At 44.1% G+C, this 17,741-nt stretch overlaps 1 long non-coding RNA gene across 4 annotated transcripts in view, besides 4 other annotated features; it reads right to left on the bottom strand.

Moving 5' to 3' along the window:
- Positions 1-8,118, bottom strand: part of LOC124909489 (uncharacterized) — a 123,033-nt gene extending 114,915 nt beyond the window's left edge. For all 4 annotated transcript variants that reach the window (XR_007096254.1, XR_007096255.1, XR_007096253.1 and 1 more), the window contains exons 1-2: positions 7,923-8,118; positions 3,769-3,828 (exon numbers count right to left, since the gene is read on the bottom strand). This is a non-coding gene — a long non-coding RNA (uncharacterized LOC124909489). The remainder of the gene's footprint in view (positions 1-3,768; positions 3,829-7,922) is intronic.
- Positions 7,862-8,391: a silencer, noted in NCBI's record as "silent region_14261". NCBI's record gives its function as "represses an Ori minimal core promoter by ATAC-STARR-seq in GM12878 lymphoblastoid cells {active_cell/tissue: GM12878}" and the evidence as "EXISTENCE:reporter gene assay evidence [ECO:0000049][PMID:35858748]".
- Positions 8,852-8,911: an enhancer, noted in NCBI's record as "active region_19755". NCBI's record gives its function as "activates an Ori minimal core promoter by ATAC-STARR-seq in GM12878 lymphoblastoid cells {active_cell/tissue: GM12878}" and the evidence as "EXISTENCE:reporter gene assay evidence [ECO:0000049][PMID:35858748]".
- Positions 10,785-10,894: an enhancer, noted in NCBI's record as "active region_19754". NCBI's record gives its function as "activates an Ori minimal core promoter by ATAC-STARR-seq in GM12878 lymphoblastoid cells {active_cell/tissue: GM12878}" and the evidence as "EXISTENCE:reporter gene assay evidence [ECO:0000049][PMID:35858748]".
- Positions 12,025-12,224: a silencer, noted in NCBI's record as "silent region_14260". NCBI's record gives its function as "represses an Ori minimal core promoter by ATAC-STARR-seq in GM12878 lymphoblastoid cells {active_cell/tissue: GM12878}" and the evidence as "EXISTENCE:reporter gene assay evidence [ECO:0000049][PMID:35858748]".

Genomic DNA, 17,741 nt, shown 5'->3' with positions numbered 1-17,741 from the left:
TATTATCCTTAATCCATGGCATCACCTAGTTCTTATTTAAATCACTGTAGGAAGAAAAAGTAGTTCCACTGCTGTGCTTGTATTAAATGAACATAACTTTAAATACGCCGTATCTAATGGAAGAGAGCTCTGACTCTTTGGTTTCTGAAAATGACAGCAGTTGCAAAAAACCCAAAAATACAGGAGTTCCAGTCATTTCCTAGTCTTGCTTTGGCATATATAAAAATCAAACCCTAGGAATTATTTAGTGTAATGTCCATTTCTGTGAAATAGCTATAAATTCAACTCTATTTTCCAAATTTATGCTTAATATTTTTTAAGTGATTTAAAAGTCTTACCAAGAACCTGGCAAGTATATGGATGTTGTTTTTAATTCTACTGATAAGATATATATAAAAGATATGTTCTTTAACTTGTTCTATTTGTCTTTAAATATTCTCACTGTAAGGGCTGGGCATAGTGGCTCATGCCTGTAATCCCAGCCAAGGCGAATGGATCGCCTGAGGCCAGGAGTTCGAGGCCAGAAGTTTGAGCCCAGCCTGATCAACATGGCAAAACCCCATCTCTACTAAAAATACAAAAATTAGCTGGCCTGGTGGCACATGCCTGTAGTCCCAGCTACTCAGGAGGCTGAGGCACGAGAATTGCTTGAACCCAAGAGGCGGAGGTTGCAGTGAGCCAAGATCACACCACTGAACTCCAGCCGGGGCGACAGAACGAGACTCTGTCTCCAGGAAAAAAAAAAAAAAAATTCTCACTCTAAGATATTAAGGACTGGTGAGAAGGCAATCTATTAAAACTGAGTATTTATATTACCAAGCTGGATATGGTATTTCCAAAAGATGTTAATATCTTTTCAACAGAAAATAGTTCATGTAACTTCTTAGTTCATATTACTCTTTCTCCTTTCAGTTAATCAAAATAAATTAGTAAAACTATTCAAAATTTAAGACAACAGCAAGGCCTATAAATGCAGTTTTCAGTTTCAAATTTCTCTGGAAATTTTTTTCTTTCCAATTTTTTTTCCCTGGGATTTAATTTTTCCCATTTATTGGTGACATCCAATAAGTCCCAGTTTTAACATTTGCAGACATACATTTCTCTGTAGGTTAAAATTAATGAAGCATATTCAAACAGCTAATTCCTGAGTTTAAAGTTCTTGTATCACCTAGCTTCTGCTTAAATCTCAAAAGCATAATTTCCCAAGCTTAAGCTATCAAATTTGATTGCCTCTTCGTGCAAAAAGCCACATACTACAAATAGTTTCTAATTGGTACAGAACTATTGGTACATATATAAGGAAATATATGGATATAAGATTTTACTTCTAGAAGATATTACTAAAATACATAACACTCGTGTAATTATATATTGTTAAACCTCCGCAACTGGTTAGTTCTCAGATAATCCCATTTCTCAGCATATTTACATTCTCTGTGACTGCTAATCAAAAACCTTAAAAAGCAAATTGGAAGCATTTCAGTAAAATAGATGAAAATGGCAAAAAATCTTGCTATGGAAAAACAGTATGTATGATCAGGGCTTGATGTCATGTCTTTTATATCTTAATAATGTCACTTGTCCTATTTTGCATCTGTAGTAAGCAGATTCCTCTGGCTATCATATTTGACCTGAGGCTAAAAAAGTGAAAACTCTGACATAAAACAGTTTTTAAAATCTTGAGATATTGTACAAGGACTGAAGGAGATGTTTGTCCAGGGTACCATTATTATTAATTTTTTTGACTATAAAAAAAAAGAAAATTAGAACCCTGTTAGCAAAGAGCCAGTTGATTTCATTCATTTACAGGAGATGAAGAATTCCTGATGGAAGTTGAGTTGCACCCCACTTAGCAGACTGGGAAAAACGTGATGTACCCCACACTGTCCTGGCATGAAGCAGGGTTACAGCTAATATGATAGATACCCCCATGTTTCCAAACAATCAGCCACAACGAAGTCGGCTATCAAGTCAGCTGTATAAAGTAACCCAAAATATCACTTTCCCAGACATATCTACCGTCATAATGACTGCTGTATCAGGAAAATTGATTTTAAAGAATTACATATAAAACTTTAAAAGAGAAATTCCTTATCATTCAATGGGAAACTTAAAAAAAGAAAAAAAGATTTGGCTTTCCTAACGCATGGCTACTCCTCTGCTCAGTTGTTCTTAAAAATAATTTATGTAAAGCAGACTTTTCTCTAAATATACTGTGCTCTCCCATATACACACTGAAAATGATATTTGCATACAGTGAGTGTATGCACTGATACACACATGGTAAAAATTTAAAAAATATGGACTGCATAAATCAGTAGCTGATTTTAAATACACACCAACTTAAACAGATTTGTTTGCAATTTCTGAATTTCTCAGGTAGAAAAGCTCTTTCTTGCTGGCTGTAGTTCTAGAAGATGCTTATACTGTATAGAGTGTACAAAAATGCTTCCCACATAAACAAAGAAAGTTTCCAGGATCTTGGTATTCTAACCTTGCCTTTGCTATTAAACACCCACCAGATGAATATGATGGAGACGAGCAAAATCAGTCTGTCATGCTACAGTAAACATGGTATTTTGTGTGCGGCCCAAGACTTTTTTTTTCTCATGAATATAAGTCACCTGCCATTTATTATGAGATTTTTCCCCGATTGACACCCCATTATGTATATTCAGTCAAGCTCAAATGAGATTTCAAGTGATCAATATACTATCTGCGCCAAAAGTCTATCAGCAGCTCTAGCAATAAACTCTGCAGAGAAGCAAAAATGGAAGTGATATTTAGTGAACTGAATTACATGAAAATCTATGTTTTGGGAAAGGGAGCACAGACAGGAAGGCAGAAAAACAAGGGATAAGAGAAGGTAGAAGAGATATTTTTCCTAATAAAAATCAGCTTTCTATAGCCTGACCACTGATGAAATGCATCGAATGCCTAAGAAGTTCTCAAAAATATCTCAAATCACATGTTGAGATTTCTAAAGAGGTAGGGAGGGGTCCAAATCAGCACTAGGTTCCTTTCAGAGACTGAGAGTTCACTCTTTAAACAGCCATACTTGGAAGTACTTGATATCCTTCAAATGGAAAAGGTGGATCCAGCCCTGGGAAATCTGTAAAATCCCTAACCATTCAAACTCTGTGTGAAACAGCAATGGCTTCCCGTACACTTTAACACTTTCCATTTTATAATTTACGTGTACCAGATCCTAACAGCCTAAACGTCATCAGCTGGGTTATAGCATTTTGATTAACGTACATTCGGTAAGAAAGGTAGCTTGACAGTAGCCATAGGATTTCATCGGGCCACCCCCCACCCCAAAAACAAAACAAAACAAAACAAAACAAAAACCTCTGTTTCTGGGCCTGGATGTTTCTACATATCAGAAGCCATCTGCTTGAACCAAGAGAAGATTAGAACAGGCAGGGCCACACAGAAACGTATGACATCTGGGGAAGTGTCAATTCAGCATTACCCAAGCACCAAAGGTTCGTATTCTATTACCATGAAAATAACATGGGGGCAGTGGGGGTGCACAGGAATCAATGGCTGTGATTGCAGTCATATAAAGTTATGCTGCTGGGTAGTGAATAAACGTTCATCTAGGTTAGGCTCCCCCCACCCCCTACTCAAGGGTATAGCACTTCCTTCTAGATTCTTATTTATGAAGCTAGAGTCCTTAGGCAGAAGGAATGAAAAATAGGAAGAACTGCTCTGCACAGATGTTCAGAATTATTAATATTTAATTATTTAGTTTACTGAACTTACATTTTGAACCACTCTCAGGCAGAAGAGAAGAGTCACTATCCATTGTGATCAAAAGAACACCTGTAAGACCAAAATGTTTAGATCATTAGCAGTTGGGATAGTTTCCAAATTCCATGAGAAGCAAGGAGGATACATAGTAATTTGAACAAGGGAGAGATGCATCTTGAGCTACATCTGAACGAAAACTATTTCTCATGATATTTTTAGTTCTAAAATCCAGAGCTGAAATACTTTTAAATTAGCAACCTAAACGATGACACACTGCAAAAAAAAAAAAAAAAAAAAAAAAAAAAATGTACTTTATCTACTTTTAAGAACTATTCATTCACTGTCTTTTCTTGATGGTCCTACCTACTAAGTAAGATCCTAAGCACAACAGATTCAGAGCCCACTTCTACCAGGAAAGAAACAAATAAAAACCCTCCCCACTACCCAAGTTAAGTCTTCTCAAAATGAAGAGTTTAACAGTCCTAAATAGCAATTCCAGTTTGTGTAGGATGCATGTGTATGTGGCACAATGCGCACACCAAAGCACATTTCTTGAATTTTGCAGAGATGCATGTACAAGTGTTTAATGTCACATAATTTTAAAGGAGCAGCAATTTCCAAATGGTTTTTCTAAAGGATACTCTCTATTGCCTCAATCCAACCCTCACACACCCAAAAATATCATTAATTTTTAAATACTTAACGCCAAAGATATTACTAACTACAATTCCCTGTAATAAGTGGATGAGCAAACAATTTTCTTCAAATTCTTCAAAAAAAAAAACTCATAACCTGATATCCTCAAGTGGAAAAAGAGAGATTCTTGGAGGCCAACTCTACAGGAATTCAGACATCAGATGCCCCTTTCCATGCTACAAGGCTCTGCAGTGTCCTAAAAAGGCTTAGTGTACATTTGTGGTAAAACATGAGACTTGTTGCCATTTGTGGGCTAAAGCAGCCCAGGTGTTTATTCAGCCAGCAAATTTACTTTGCTGGGAGGTGGGTGTTCTGGAATGCTCGTCATACAATGATGTGTGCATATTTACTGTCGAACTCAAGGAGGTACTGTTCTGGAACCTTCTCATACTGCAATTAACTGTGCAAGTGGGTAGAGCTAATTTCCATAAAATAATCACTGCATATCTTAGGAAAAGACCCTCTTTGAAAGCAGGCTGCTAGGGCGCCGGCATCTGAGCAAAGCACCAGAGACGTCTGACCAATTTGATTCTTGAAGCCGCCGCTGAAATCTATTTTGATTTTAGAATGACCCGCAATCACAGACAATTTACCTGATTGTGTGTTCCTGGTGACTCTCAAAGCCTTCTAGGTGCTAGGATTTGTAGGTATAGTTTGTGGATTTAAAAGAGGGGAAAGATAATATAAGAAAAAAAAAAAACACAGGAAAAAAGCAGAAGGTAGTTTCAGCAGCTTAAGATTATGAGTTCAGAACAGAACCTGCAATTTTCACCTAGAGTATCACGTTAGACTGGAAGAACTGTTGAGATACTGCTAACTGGTCACGACATTCAGGTCTGAAAATGCATTAATTCACTCTAGCCATCAAGGGAAAACGTATCATTTTCTCTTCCGTAAATGATATATTTACCTTAAAAAATGGAAGGTAACCAAGTAGGGATCCTTTTGAAAATTTTGTCTTAAAAAAAGGAAAGAAAAAAAGTCTTTGTATCTCTTTTCTTCTTGGTCAGACCCGCTATCTGCAGTAGACGATGCGGATAAACCTAACTATAATAATGAACTGTAAATTTATAATGCCTCTTTCTTCAGAGCAGCTCAAAACATTTTCTTTCCCATAGATTTGAAACAAGATTTGAAATCTCCTTGTCTTGTTGTAGAAATGGCCTTCCTCTAATCTGATGTGAAATGACTGGGTTCTGTTTGAAGGACCAAGCAGTAAAAGGTAAGCTCATTCATCTGTTTCTTGCTCCAATTATGCATCTCTGTTCAAACTGAGATGCCAGGTGCTGGTCTATCGCACAAGCTGATTTATTCCATTCACTGCCTAAAAAGGAGCCCCCCTCTTTCTAAAAAACTTAGTTTTATAAAAAAAATTTTATTAAGAATATCGAAGCAAAAATAACTCTTTTTGGCTTCACTGTATGCTTTAATATGTGTCCTTCCAATCAATTATGGCTTTTAGCCCTAGGATCTTAAAATTTGGAAGCTCTCGATCTGTATCCCTTTTCTAACAAAATCAACCTCTCAAAGTTAAATGGACATTTTAACAAGCTGACAGGTGAAAAGAAATAACACTGTGCTTTTTAAGACCTGCCTATGGATTAAAGCCTACCCTCCAAATTTGTTAGTAATTATTTAAATAAAGGTAATGCCCAAGCCTAGAAGCTGCCTCTCCCTGCACCACTGCAATTGTCGAATTCCTTTCCTGGTCTTTCATGCAGATGCTCAGAAACAGGGTGGGGCTCCCTGGTCTTGCATGCAATGTTAAGGGAGTCTGTGCTGTAAAGAAAATTCAATTAATCGTTCATATTCCAGTTTTTCAGTATCCTTCAAAAATACCTTTGAAATAATCATGTTGCTAAGAGTCCCACCGTTTCTCATGTTAAGATTCAGATTAAAACCTTTGTGTCAAATCAGATGTGTTTTGCACAAGCATGGATGACAGGTATTGAAATAAAGGTGACAAGTCAAGGAATCAGGGAGAAACCTCCTGGAAGAAGAGATGTGAGAAAGAGAGACTAGCTTCTCTATTATGGATGTCTCCGATGATGCTTTTTCAAAAATCTTTTTTTTTTTTTAACAAGTACAGTTCTTTAGAGTCTACAAGTAAAATCCAATCTTGCTAAGCCATGCTTGTTCCCTTATGAGTCAGCAGGCCACTGAGCATTTCAGACAGTGCAGCCAAGAGTAAATGGGCAAAGGCTGTCGCTGGACACACCCATTTTACTAATCCTGACTCTGATTTTTTTTTAAATTCATCTTTATGTTACATGGTGTCTGACCTCAGAACTTGCATCAAAAACTGCACCTCCACCAAGGACTCAGGTTCCAATGTGGAAGGACTACCCTCCAGCTCCTTCACTGAGTGCAATCGGATAAGGGCTTATGTCTTCCTCAATGGGCAACTCCTGTTTCATTTTCTCTCCAGTCTGCATGTTATCAGCTTGACATTCCCTTCAGTGGCATATGACAAATCAAATTGATCAAATTGGCCATCACTGCATTCATCAGAGGAGGATTTTTTTATTTCCCAGGACTGATACCTCCACTCCCTTTACAATCATGAACACATCAGAAATAAATAAATAAATAAAATAAAAATAAAAATCCCATGTCTTGGGTTTTTTTCCGGGGTTTTGTTTGTTTTGAGGGTAGTGAAAGTGGTAAGAAGTAATGAATGGATACAACTAATCATAAAGAAAGAAAAGCAACTGATAGTCATAAAGCCAAGGGCACAGTCTTAAAATATGATTTTAAATACCTAGTGCCTACATCTTAAATTTAAAGCATTGATCCAAAAATGCAGATATTATTAGCTTTGGAAAACTTTACCAAAACATTAAGTAAATTATTTTCCTAATCTTTTTGCATGATTCAGCACTTTTAATACTAATTTCTGTCAAGAAGTTATAAGGTAAAAGGAATCTTTTCTGGGTGCCTTAAAACCTCACACACTCTGTACTGAACCATCTGCACTCCTTCTACTACAGGGTCATATCAGAAATACTGGGGGTCACTGGTTTGCTGCCATAACATCTAGTGACCACCTCAGAGCGGCTCAATTTCACTCTCCGGAATCTAAGTGGCTCTTGGGGACAGAATGACCCGTCGCAGAGGCTTCTCCCCATCTCGAGCTGACCCTTACCCAGGAGCCACACACATATGCGTGCACACTCGACTGCACCTGTCTCACCCCATCAGCAGCAGCTACAAGCTCCCACCTGATGTGTCTTTTCAACCTTTGTCAAGTATCTCAAGGCAAGAATGTCCTGAAGCCCTTCCCCCAAATAGAAGCTTTGGTCCGAGCCCCCAACCCGCAGGAGCATCAAGAGGAGGCCAAGGAGACAGACACCGCAGACTCTCTCTGCAAACTTGACCTGGGCATCGCACGGACTCGCGTTCGCATCCGAAGACCCCACACGTCCCCCGCACTGTCCCCACAGCATCCCACGCCCGCGGTGCACGCTCACCTGCCGGTAGACGAGCCACACGCCTCGGCGGTCCAGACTTCCGTGTCGACCTCCGTGGGCGAGCCTACGCGCTGGGTGCCCGGCGCGCCCTCAGGAGTGGCTGGGACCGCGGGCTGGCGCCGGGCAGGGCGGTGGGACGCCTGGAGCCGGCGGGAGGAGCACGCCCAGGCGGGTCCGCGCCGAGCCCGAGCGAGCGGGCGAGCCGGGCGGGAGGGGCCATTTGTAACCGAGCAGACGCTACCACCGCCCCTTACTCGCGGGGGGCGGGGGCGGGCGGTCAGGTGACGGCGGCCCACCCTCCGCCGCCGAGCCGGGTGGTTCCTGCCCGGGAGGAGCCCCCTGGCGCGCTCTGATTGGAACTCCCGCCGCAGTGGCGGGGGAGGGGGGACACGTGACCGCCCGGCCAGGCGGCCCGGCGCGCCCCATTCGCGATGGGCACCCCATCTTCCTCCTGGAAAAGCCGGGGGACACAGAGAAGGCGGAGGAGCACGCGGGGTGCAGGAGAGCCTACCAGCCCCTTTAGCCGCAGTGCTGGTGATTCCGGCCGCTGAACCCGGAGAGGAAAGGCTCCCACGCGGCCAGCCGGCCTTGACTGTCCTCTCGCCCTGCCCTTGGCCGCAGTACCCTCCCCTCGGCTGCAGTAACCGCCCCCTACACCTCCAGGCAAGGGCACGCTCAGTGTAGACCACTGCCACTTCATAGATGCCAGTGCCACTTAAGAGTGGTGTTGGGTTTTTTTTTTTTCCTTTCCTCCTCTCTGCACACCAGCACATTGTACCCGAGAGAAACTCACGGCGGTGCACTGCAGACACCGCCCAGCTCCAGGGCCCGAAGACCCTCCGACCAGGCCCCGGGATGCCTGAGGTCTCCCAGGTCATTACGTGGAGGAACTCAGGCCTGCTCCCTGCGCAGGAGGAGGAGGCGTCGCGGGAGCTGCAGTCCCCGATCCTTCCCAGGAAGCCGGCCGGGTGGAAGGGGAGAGGGCCGTTATCGTGGTGCGAATCCAACTCGCAGCCTCTGGGAGCACGTTGCTAATAAAGGTCAAATTAAAACAACTAAGTGGTGCCGGCAGGGACGCGCCGCATGGTCAGGAGAAGCCCGGCTATTAATCATCCATAAGGAGCATTGCTCTTCTGGTGTGGGAGAATGGGGCTGTGCGACAGCCCCCCGGAGTTGCGCTCTGCTCTGAACCCTAAGCTCCCCCAGAGCAAGTGGATTGCGCAGCCTATTACCCCACCTCCCCACGGCCCCCTCTTGGGGCGGCACCACCCTAGATGGCAGGAATTCGGAGAAAATGCGGTGTCACGTCCGCCGCTATGCCCGCACACGCGTCTGCGCCAACTCCAGCAACACGTGGGGACCGTGAATCTGGGCGTCTGCTCTCCACTTAGGTGGTTATGTGGGTATACTTATATGATTACTGATTAAAACCAAATTGGACGGAGAAGTCTGTTTCTACACTGGATTCTTTCAAACTTCTGTCCAAGGGAGTTTTGCGCTCGATTTGGGCGGGGACGCAGTTTTCAGCCAAGACCGCCGCAGCGCTCAGCAGAGCCCGGGGACCGGTGGTGGTGGTGGCGGGATGGGGAGGAACAGAGGCCCTTGATTCTTTGGTACTCCACTTTCTTTCCTTATTTAGACCAGTCGGGCAACACGTCCCTCGCCCAAGATGGCCTTTCCAACTGGAACGTGACTCAGACAATGTGGAAGCCAGGGGTCCTTGACCCATCGTACCTGGGCTTCGCTGGGCATAGGACAAGGGTTGGGCAGGTTTACCTGGAAAGGGAGTTTATTCGTAAAGCTTCGGGCATAAACGCTAGATAGCGAAACTTTGAGGAAGCTCAAAGTTTACCTATTGTAAATTGGTGGGGGGTGGGGGAGCATCTTATGTAAAAAGGAACGGCCCTATTAAATTAGTAAGTATCTTATTTTCGTAGTGGACGTCTTGCTGCCCTTGGTCCTCCCCTCCCCCACCTCATTTCTCCAAACCACCAAGGTTGGAGAAATCTCATAAACAAAGTATAAGTCCGTGGGGGGGGGGGGGGGGGGTTACTTGGTGTTTTAAAAAAACAACAACAACAAACGACCTTTGTAATAAGAAAGGTGGGTACGTTTTCATTTCTAGGTCTTAATCTTAACGTTACGGCCACGTTAAAATTGAAGTTGATTGAGACAAGAGAATCCCAGAGCACAGCACGCAGACAGACAATTTCACAATTAAAAAATATGTACTTCCTTCTCCCCGCTCTCGTCACCTCCCCCTTTCCCCGCCATTACCTACTCCCGTTTGGACTAGGGGCTGGGAGAGGAGGAGGATGTAGTCCCTCCGAGTGCACAAGGGAGGCGGCGGGGCCACTTGTTGCTGCACCGCCAGAAGAGCTAATTCCGAGCGGATCTGGCAGGGAGTTAAAACCCTTCTCCTGGATGCGACGCCCCAGAGACCGAGGCAGACGGCGAGAACAGATTCAGCGCCTCGAGATGTGCTTTCCAATTTGAACTCTGGACCATCTTTGCTTGAAATGCTTTGTCTTGCACGTCTGGGAATTACTCTGTGCGATTAAACGCGTGACACACACACGCATACGCGGGGTCGCCCCGCAGGGGGGAGGGTGCGTGGCACAGGAGCCTCGGACTTTCAGGGGCTCTGCACTTGGGGAGTGGTGCGAGGGGGACCGCCTCGGTGTGGCTGCTGACGTGAGACAGGTAACTCGGAAAGGTCTTCCTCCGGCTGCCTTGGTAATGGGAAGCTGTGGGCAAAGGTGCAGGGGCGGTCCCGGAGCGCACACGGCGCAGTCCGCAGTGAAGGGCAGTGGTGTGGTGGGGCAGAGAGACTAGACAAGGGCAGGCGGGTTTTGCCGATTCCGAGTTCATCCGTCTACGGGGTCACGTTCTGTTGAGAAAATGCGCGACACCCGGTAGGGAGAGAGTGACACTGACCAAGTGTCCCTGGAGGGCCGAGCCGTTTGCCCTCGGGAGGGGGTCGCGAGGCCCGTCAGCACTCGGCTCCCGCGGAAGCTGTGCTAGCGCGGCAGTCTCGCCGGCGCCTGGCCCCACCAGCCTTTGCCTTCAGCGTCCTCCGGTGGCATCGTCCGAGATTTGCGGAGCAGAAGCCGAGGACACGAGCAACTCGCTGTGGGCTTGAAGTGACCACGCCTTAGGGCTGTGAAAAGCTGCCCCGTGGTGACTTGGGTACGAGGAGGTTAATAAAGTGCAGAATTAGTCTTGATTTTTACCTAAAATGAAGCTGGTAGTACTGAGCGCTTAAATGACTCCGCTAGGACCCTGGAGGTTGTGGGAGCGGGGTGGGAGAGGGTAAATGCTAGGTTTAGGACAACACAGGATATGTCTAATTTAAGGAAGCTCCCCTTCTCGGGCCACGTTCTCTGTAGCTCTACCCAACTGGAATCGCCTCTGCACCCGGGGTCATCTCCGGCATTATGACACCCAGCGTTGCCCTCTAAACTCCAAGTCCCCGCGGCCACATCCTTCCGTGCCTGCTGGCACCAGCAAGAGTCTCTGCCTGCCCTTTCTCCTTTACATGGACCCTTTTCCTTTCACCCCTAGACCGCAGTGCGACTGGCAGGCACCTCTTCGCCCCCTCCGCGCCCCGCGCCGACGGTGGGAACAGCAGCGACAGCGCGACCGCAGCCTTCTAGTGCCTTCGCCCCCTCCCCCGCGGCCACACCTCACCCACCTCACCCGCCAAACCCCGCACTCCGCCGCCGTCCCTCCCCTGCGCGCTCCCGGCGCCAACCCAGCCAGAAGCGGGTGGAAGCCCGGGTCCATGTGCAGGTGTCCTTGTGCGGGAGTAGGGGAGCTCATAGGTCAGCGATCCGCGACCCTACCCTGCCCTCAGCTCGGGGTCCACCCACGTGGAACCCGCCGGCCCCCGCGGGTACCCAACACCAGTCTCCCGGGCTCGGCTGCCGTTCCCTCGAAGCCCCAGGGCGCTCCCACGGGTCAATGACCACCTCAGTCTTTCCTCAAGCCAGGGTTTGGCCAGTTGGGAAACCTCTTCGTCCCCTGCCCACATCCCCTGGCATCTCCGGACAAAGCCACTCGGCTTCCCGCCCCGGCATCGGGAAAGATGCGCGTGGAGAGCGCCTCCAGGCGCTGGGCCACGGTCCCGGTCCCTGGCCGTGCCTGCTGTGTGCGGAGCTGGGGCGGCGGGTACCGCCTGCGCGGGGCAGGCACCCCACTCGCCGTTCCTCCAGCACGGGCACTCGACCGCCGCGGCGCTGCAGGAAGGAGGCCCCGCCGCGCCGGTTCCTCCACACCCACGTGCCCCTCGTGTGCGCGCCCCCGGCCTGCAGATGCTACAAGGCTGGCGCCGCCTGGATTTCCGGGCGGCCCCACCCTCCGCGGCCGCTACGCCTCGCTCCCTGCATTCAGTCTCCTTGGCGTCTCCGCTGCAGCATCCAAGACCAGGCGCCGCCTCTGCTAGCCGTGCTGCCCAGCACGCCTGAGGGCCGCTGCCGGCAGGCCTCACCTCCCGCCCGGGTCCCCCACTCACCTTTCCTTCTGGACGGTGGGGTTCAAGCTCTGCACTGGGGCTGTTAAGCCACCGCCCACGACCTCCTGTAGGGTGCAGCGGGAGGGCGTTCCCGAGGCGCCAGCACCCTCTTTAAGCCCTTCCCCGGCTTTCTGCACAGCACCTTCATCAGCCGGCCACCCTCCCTGACACTAAGGGAGGCATAGCTCTCGCTCTTGCTCCCGCTTTCTCTCGCTCGTTCTCACACCAACGCCCACCTATACACACACCTGAACACCGAGAGGCCAGGACCGGTATCTCTCTCTTGAACTCTCAATTCCAGCACTGCAGAGCACATCACGTCGCTGACAGCAAAGTGAGGAGGTGGCACCTGTGAACTAGGTGGTTTCTTAAAATTTAAGAAATAGCCTTCTGCCCCTTGGCCTTTGCGTTCTTAAGACGATTGTACTTTATTTTTTAAAAATATATAGCCCAGTAGTATTCACACATTAAAAAATACATATTTAAATGTTTCGAGATAATCATAGATTCACGTGCAGTTGTAAAAAATAATAATAATACAGAGAGATCCTGTGCACCCACCCTTTACCCAGTTTCCCCCAGTGGTAAAAATTCCCAAAACTATGGTGCAATATCACAACCAGGATACTAGCACTGGTATAACCCCACCCATCTTACTGAGATTTCCCGTTTTACTTGTACTCATTTCTCTCTCCTTCAACCTCTGTGTGTGTGTAAATAATTCTATACAATTTTATCACATGTGTAAATTCAACTACCACCACAGTCAAGATGCAGAACCGAACTTATCACAGGATCCCTCTTTTTGCCTTTTATAACCACACCTACCTGGAGGGTGAGTGGCGATCCCTGACTACTACTAATCTACTTTCAATTTTTTCCAATTTTGTCGTTTCAAGAATGTTGTACAGATGAAATTATACAATAATGTAGTATTTTCGGATTGTCTTTATTGACTCAGCATAATTCCCCTGAAATGTATCCAATTATTATGTATTATCAATAGATGATTCTTTTTTATTAGTGGGTAGTATTCATGGGATGGAGGTACCACGACGGTAGATTATTTAACCATTCTCTCATTGAAGGACTTATTGCAGGGTTGTTTCCAGATTTTGGCCGTTGCAAATAAAGCTGCTGTGAACATTCATGTACAGGTTTCTGTGGGAACATAAGTTTTCTCTGGGATAAACGCTCAAGAGGGCAATTGCTGGGTTATGTGGTAAGCACACGTTTAGTTTTGTAAGAACTACCATACTCTTTTCCAGATTGCCTGTGCCATTTTACAATCCCAGCAGCAATGTAGGTGTGATCAATTTTTTTCTTCACACTTGGCAGCATTTGGTGGTGTCACTGTTTTTTTATTTTAGTCATTCGGATAGGTAAGTAATATCTCATTGTGGTTTTAAATTGCATTTTTCTGGTGGCTAAGGTAATGATAGTGAGCATCTTTTTATGTGCTGATTTGCCATCTGTATACCCTTTTCTTTTTCTTTATTTCTTTTCTCATGGAATGTCTGTTCCCATGTTTTGCCCATATTCTAATTAGAGGTTTGTTTTTATTTTTTACTGTGGCATTTTGAAGAGTTCTTTATATATTCTAGGAAAAGTCCTTTGTGAGATACATGGTTTGCAAATATTTTGTTCCAGTCTCTAGCTTGTCTTTTCATTCTCTTCACATGGGCTTTTGCAGAGGAAAACTTTCCAATTTTGAGGAGACTCAATTTACCAATCTTTCATTTTATGGATCTTGCTTTTGGTGTCAAGTGTAAGAACTTTCGCCCAGCCCTAAATCTGGAAGATTTTCTTTAATTTTAAAAGTGAGTTTAGTTTTACATTTTACATTGTATCTGTGATCCATTTTCAGTTAATTTGTTTCTGAGATGTGAAGTTTAGGTTGAGGTACAGTTTTTGCCTGTGGATACCCAATTGTTATAGCATCATTTGTTGGAAAGGTTCTTTTTCCTCCATTGAATTGCTTTTGCAGATTTATTTTTTAAAATTCCAGCAGGCATATTTGTGTGGGTCTGTTTTCGTGTTGATCTTGTATACTTCAACCATGCTGAATTTGCTTCTCACTTCTAGGAATTTTCTGAGTAAACAATCATGTTATCTGCAAATAGTGACAGTTTTATTTCTTCCTTTCCAATCTGTATGTCTTTCATTATTTTTTTCTTGTCTTATTTCTTTTTTTTTTTTTTTTTTTTTTTTTTTTTTTTTTTTTTTTTGAGACGGAGTCTCGCTCTGTCGCCCAGGCTGGAGTGCAGTGGCGCGATCTCGGCTCACTGCAAGCTCCGCCTCCCAGGTTCACGCCATTCTCCTGCCTCAGCCTCCCAAGTAGCTGGGACTACAGGCGCCCGCTACCACAAAGTGGCTAGAACTTTCAATACCATGTTGGATGAGTGGTGAGAGCAGATATATTTGCCTTATTCCTGATCTTAGCAGAAAAGCAATCAGTCTTTCACCTTTAAATATATTAGCTGCAGGGTTTTTATAGATTTTTTAAAAAATCTAATTGAGGTAATTTCATCTATTCCTAACTTGCTTTGAGTTTTTATAATAAATGTGTGTAAGATTTTGTCATATGCTTTTTCTGCATGAAATGACATGATCCTATGATATGGTGAATTGATATCACTGATTGATTTTCAAATGTTGAGCCAGCCTTGCCCACCTGGAATAAATCCCACTTGGTTATGATATAGAATTCTTCTTATACACACTTGGATTCAATTTTGTTAAGGATTTTTGCATTGAAGTTCATAAGAGAAATTGACATGAACTTTACTAGTTTCTTTTTTACTCTGTTTGGTTTCAGTATCAGGGCCTTATAAAATGAACTGAGAAGTGTTCCCTCCTCTTGTATATTGTGGAAGAGATTGTGTAAAATTGCTATCGATTATTTAAATGTTTGGTAGAATCCTTTAATAAAATCATTTGACCTTGGACATTTTTTAATGAGGTTATAAATTACAAATTTAATTTCTGTAATAGTTATTGGATTGTTCAGATTATCTGTTACATCTTGGTTGAGTTTTTGTAATTTATGGTTTTCAAGAAATTGGTTCAATTTTCTAAGCTTTTGTATTTATTCTAATGAGTTGAACATGAAGCTGTAGATTTCCCTTATAACGACTGCAGGACCTGTGGTGATACACCAGTTTCATTCCTGATACTGGTTATTTGTGCCTTATTTTCATCAGTTTTGTTGTTGTTGTTGTTGTTTTTGGTTTTTGTTTTTTGAGACAGGGTCTCCCTCTGTTGCCCAGGCTGGAATGCAGTGGCATAATCTTAGCACATTGCAGCCTTGACTTCCTGGGCTCACTTCAGCCTCCCAAGTAGCTGGGACTACAGGAATGCACCACCATGCCTTGCTAATTTTCATAGAGACAGGGTCTCCCTATTTTGCCCAGACTGTCTTCAACTCCTGGGCTCAAGTGATCCTCCTGCCTCTGCCTCCCAAAGTGCTGAGATTATAGGCACAAGCCACCACACCTGGCCTTACTTTTGTCAGTCTTGCTAGGGATTTATCCATTTTATTGATTTTGTTGAAGAACCAGCTTTTGGTTTCATTGATTTTTCTCTATTATATTCTTATTTTCAATTTAATTGATTTTTGCTCTCTTTATTTTTTTTCTTCCTCTTGTTGCTTTGCATTTATTTTGCTGTACATTTCTAGCTTCTTGAAATAGGAATTTACATTACTGGTTTGAGACTTTTCTTCTTTTCTAATGTATGCATCTAGTGCTATAAATTTCCCTCTTGGCACTGCTTTAACTGTGTCTCACAAATTTTGACATGGGTTTTAACTTTCATTCAGTTTTATTATATTTAAAATTTTTTCTGAGGCTTTCTCTTGGACCCTTGATTTATTTAGAAGTGTGTTGTTTACATTCCAAATGTTTGGAGATTTTTCTCTTATCTTTCTTCTGCTGATTTCTAGTTTTATTCTATTATGGCGAGAGAATACACTCTGTATGCTTCAGTTAAGTTTGCTGATTTTTTTTTAATGACCCAAGATATGGTCTGTGTTCCATGGGCTCTTGAGAAAAATGTATATTCTGCTGTTGTTGGGTGAAGTGTCCCACCTATGTCAATTAGCTCCTGTTGGTTAATGATTTTGTTGAGTTTGTCTATGTCCTGAACAATTTTCTGTGTAGTAGTTCTATTAGTTGCTAAGAGGGGAGTATTGAAATTTCCGACTATAATTATAGATTTGTCTATTTCTCCTTTCAGTTCTACACGTTTTCCTTTGTATATTTGGAGGCTCTGTGGTTTGGTGCTTACACATTTCAGATTGTTACATCTTTTTAGTAGGTTGATCTTTTTACCATTTATAATGTCCATCCTTGTCTCTAATAAATTTTTTTGCTCTGAAGTCTATTTTATCTAGCATTAGCTTTAAAAAGTACTTTAAAAAGCACTTCTGCTTTTTAAAATTAATATTTGAATGGTATGTCTTTTCCCATTCCTTCAATTTCAGTCTAACTATAATGTAGAATTTGGACATTCATGAATATTTTAAGGTGTTTTTTGCTGGTAATTGATGAAATTCCAAAATTCATTTTGTTCAATAAAAAGTTTATGGTTCCGTGATGTTGGATTTGGCAATGATTTCTTGACTATAATACTGAAAGTATAGGTAACAAAAGAATTGGACTGTATTGAAATTAAAAACTTCTGTGCATCATAGGACGCTATTAAGAGAATAAAAAGACAATCCAAAGAATAGGAGAATACATTTGTCAATCATATATGAGATAAGGAATTAATAGCCAGACTATAAAAATAGCTCTTAAAATTCAACAATAACAACAGCAACAAAAACAATATAATTTAAAATAGGCAGACACCCCAAAGCCTGGCCCAAGCAGAAAGATGCCACGCACCGTGGATTTCTGCAGAGCAAAAGGGCTAGTCCTGTTTAACCTGCTAGTACAAACAGCAGCTCTGCTCAACCTCACCCCAAGGTACTTCCCAGGCGGGGAGACACCTGCCACTATCCATTTCTATGGAGCATAGCCTCTGGACCCATCTATCTGGAGCTGTGACTTCACCTAATCTTTGAGCTCAGCCTATACCCTTGTCTAACTATGGAACTCCAACAGTGGCACCACCCAGCCAGGAAATACACCCTGTGACTGTGCCCAATCAGAAGTCATCACAGAGCTCAGCAAGCAACTCTGCCTGCTTGCAGGGCCAAGGCAGTGGTCTTGCTGGGCAGCAGAGCCAGCTCCACTCCACCTCAGAGCAAACGTAGTAGCCCAGCCAACTAGAGAACTTGGCAATAAATTTTGCCTGCCTGG

Source organism: Homo sapiens, chromosome 3 (assembly GCF_000001405.40).
Source record: "Homo sapiens chromosome 3, GRCh38.p14 Primary Assembly".
Classification (NCBI taxonomy): domain Eukaryota; kingdom Metazoa; phylum Chordata; class Mammalia; order Primates; family Hominidae; genus Homo; species Homo sapiens.
This window is presented reverse-complemented; position numbering and strand designations above follow the sequence as displayed.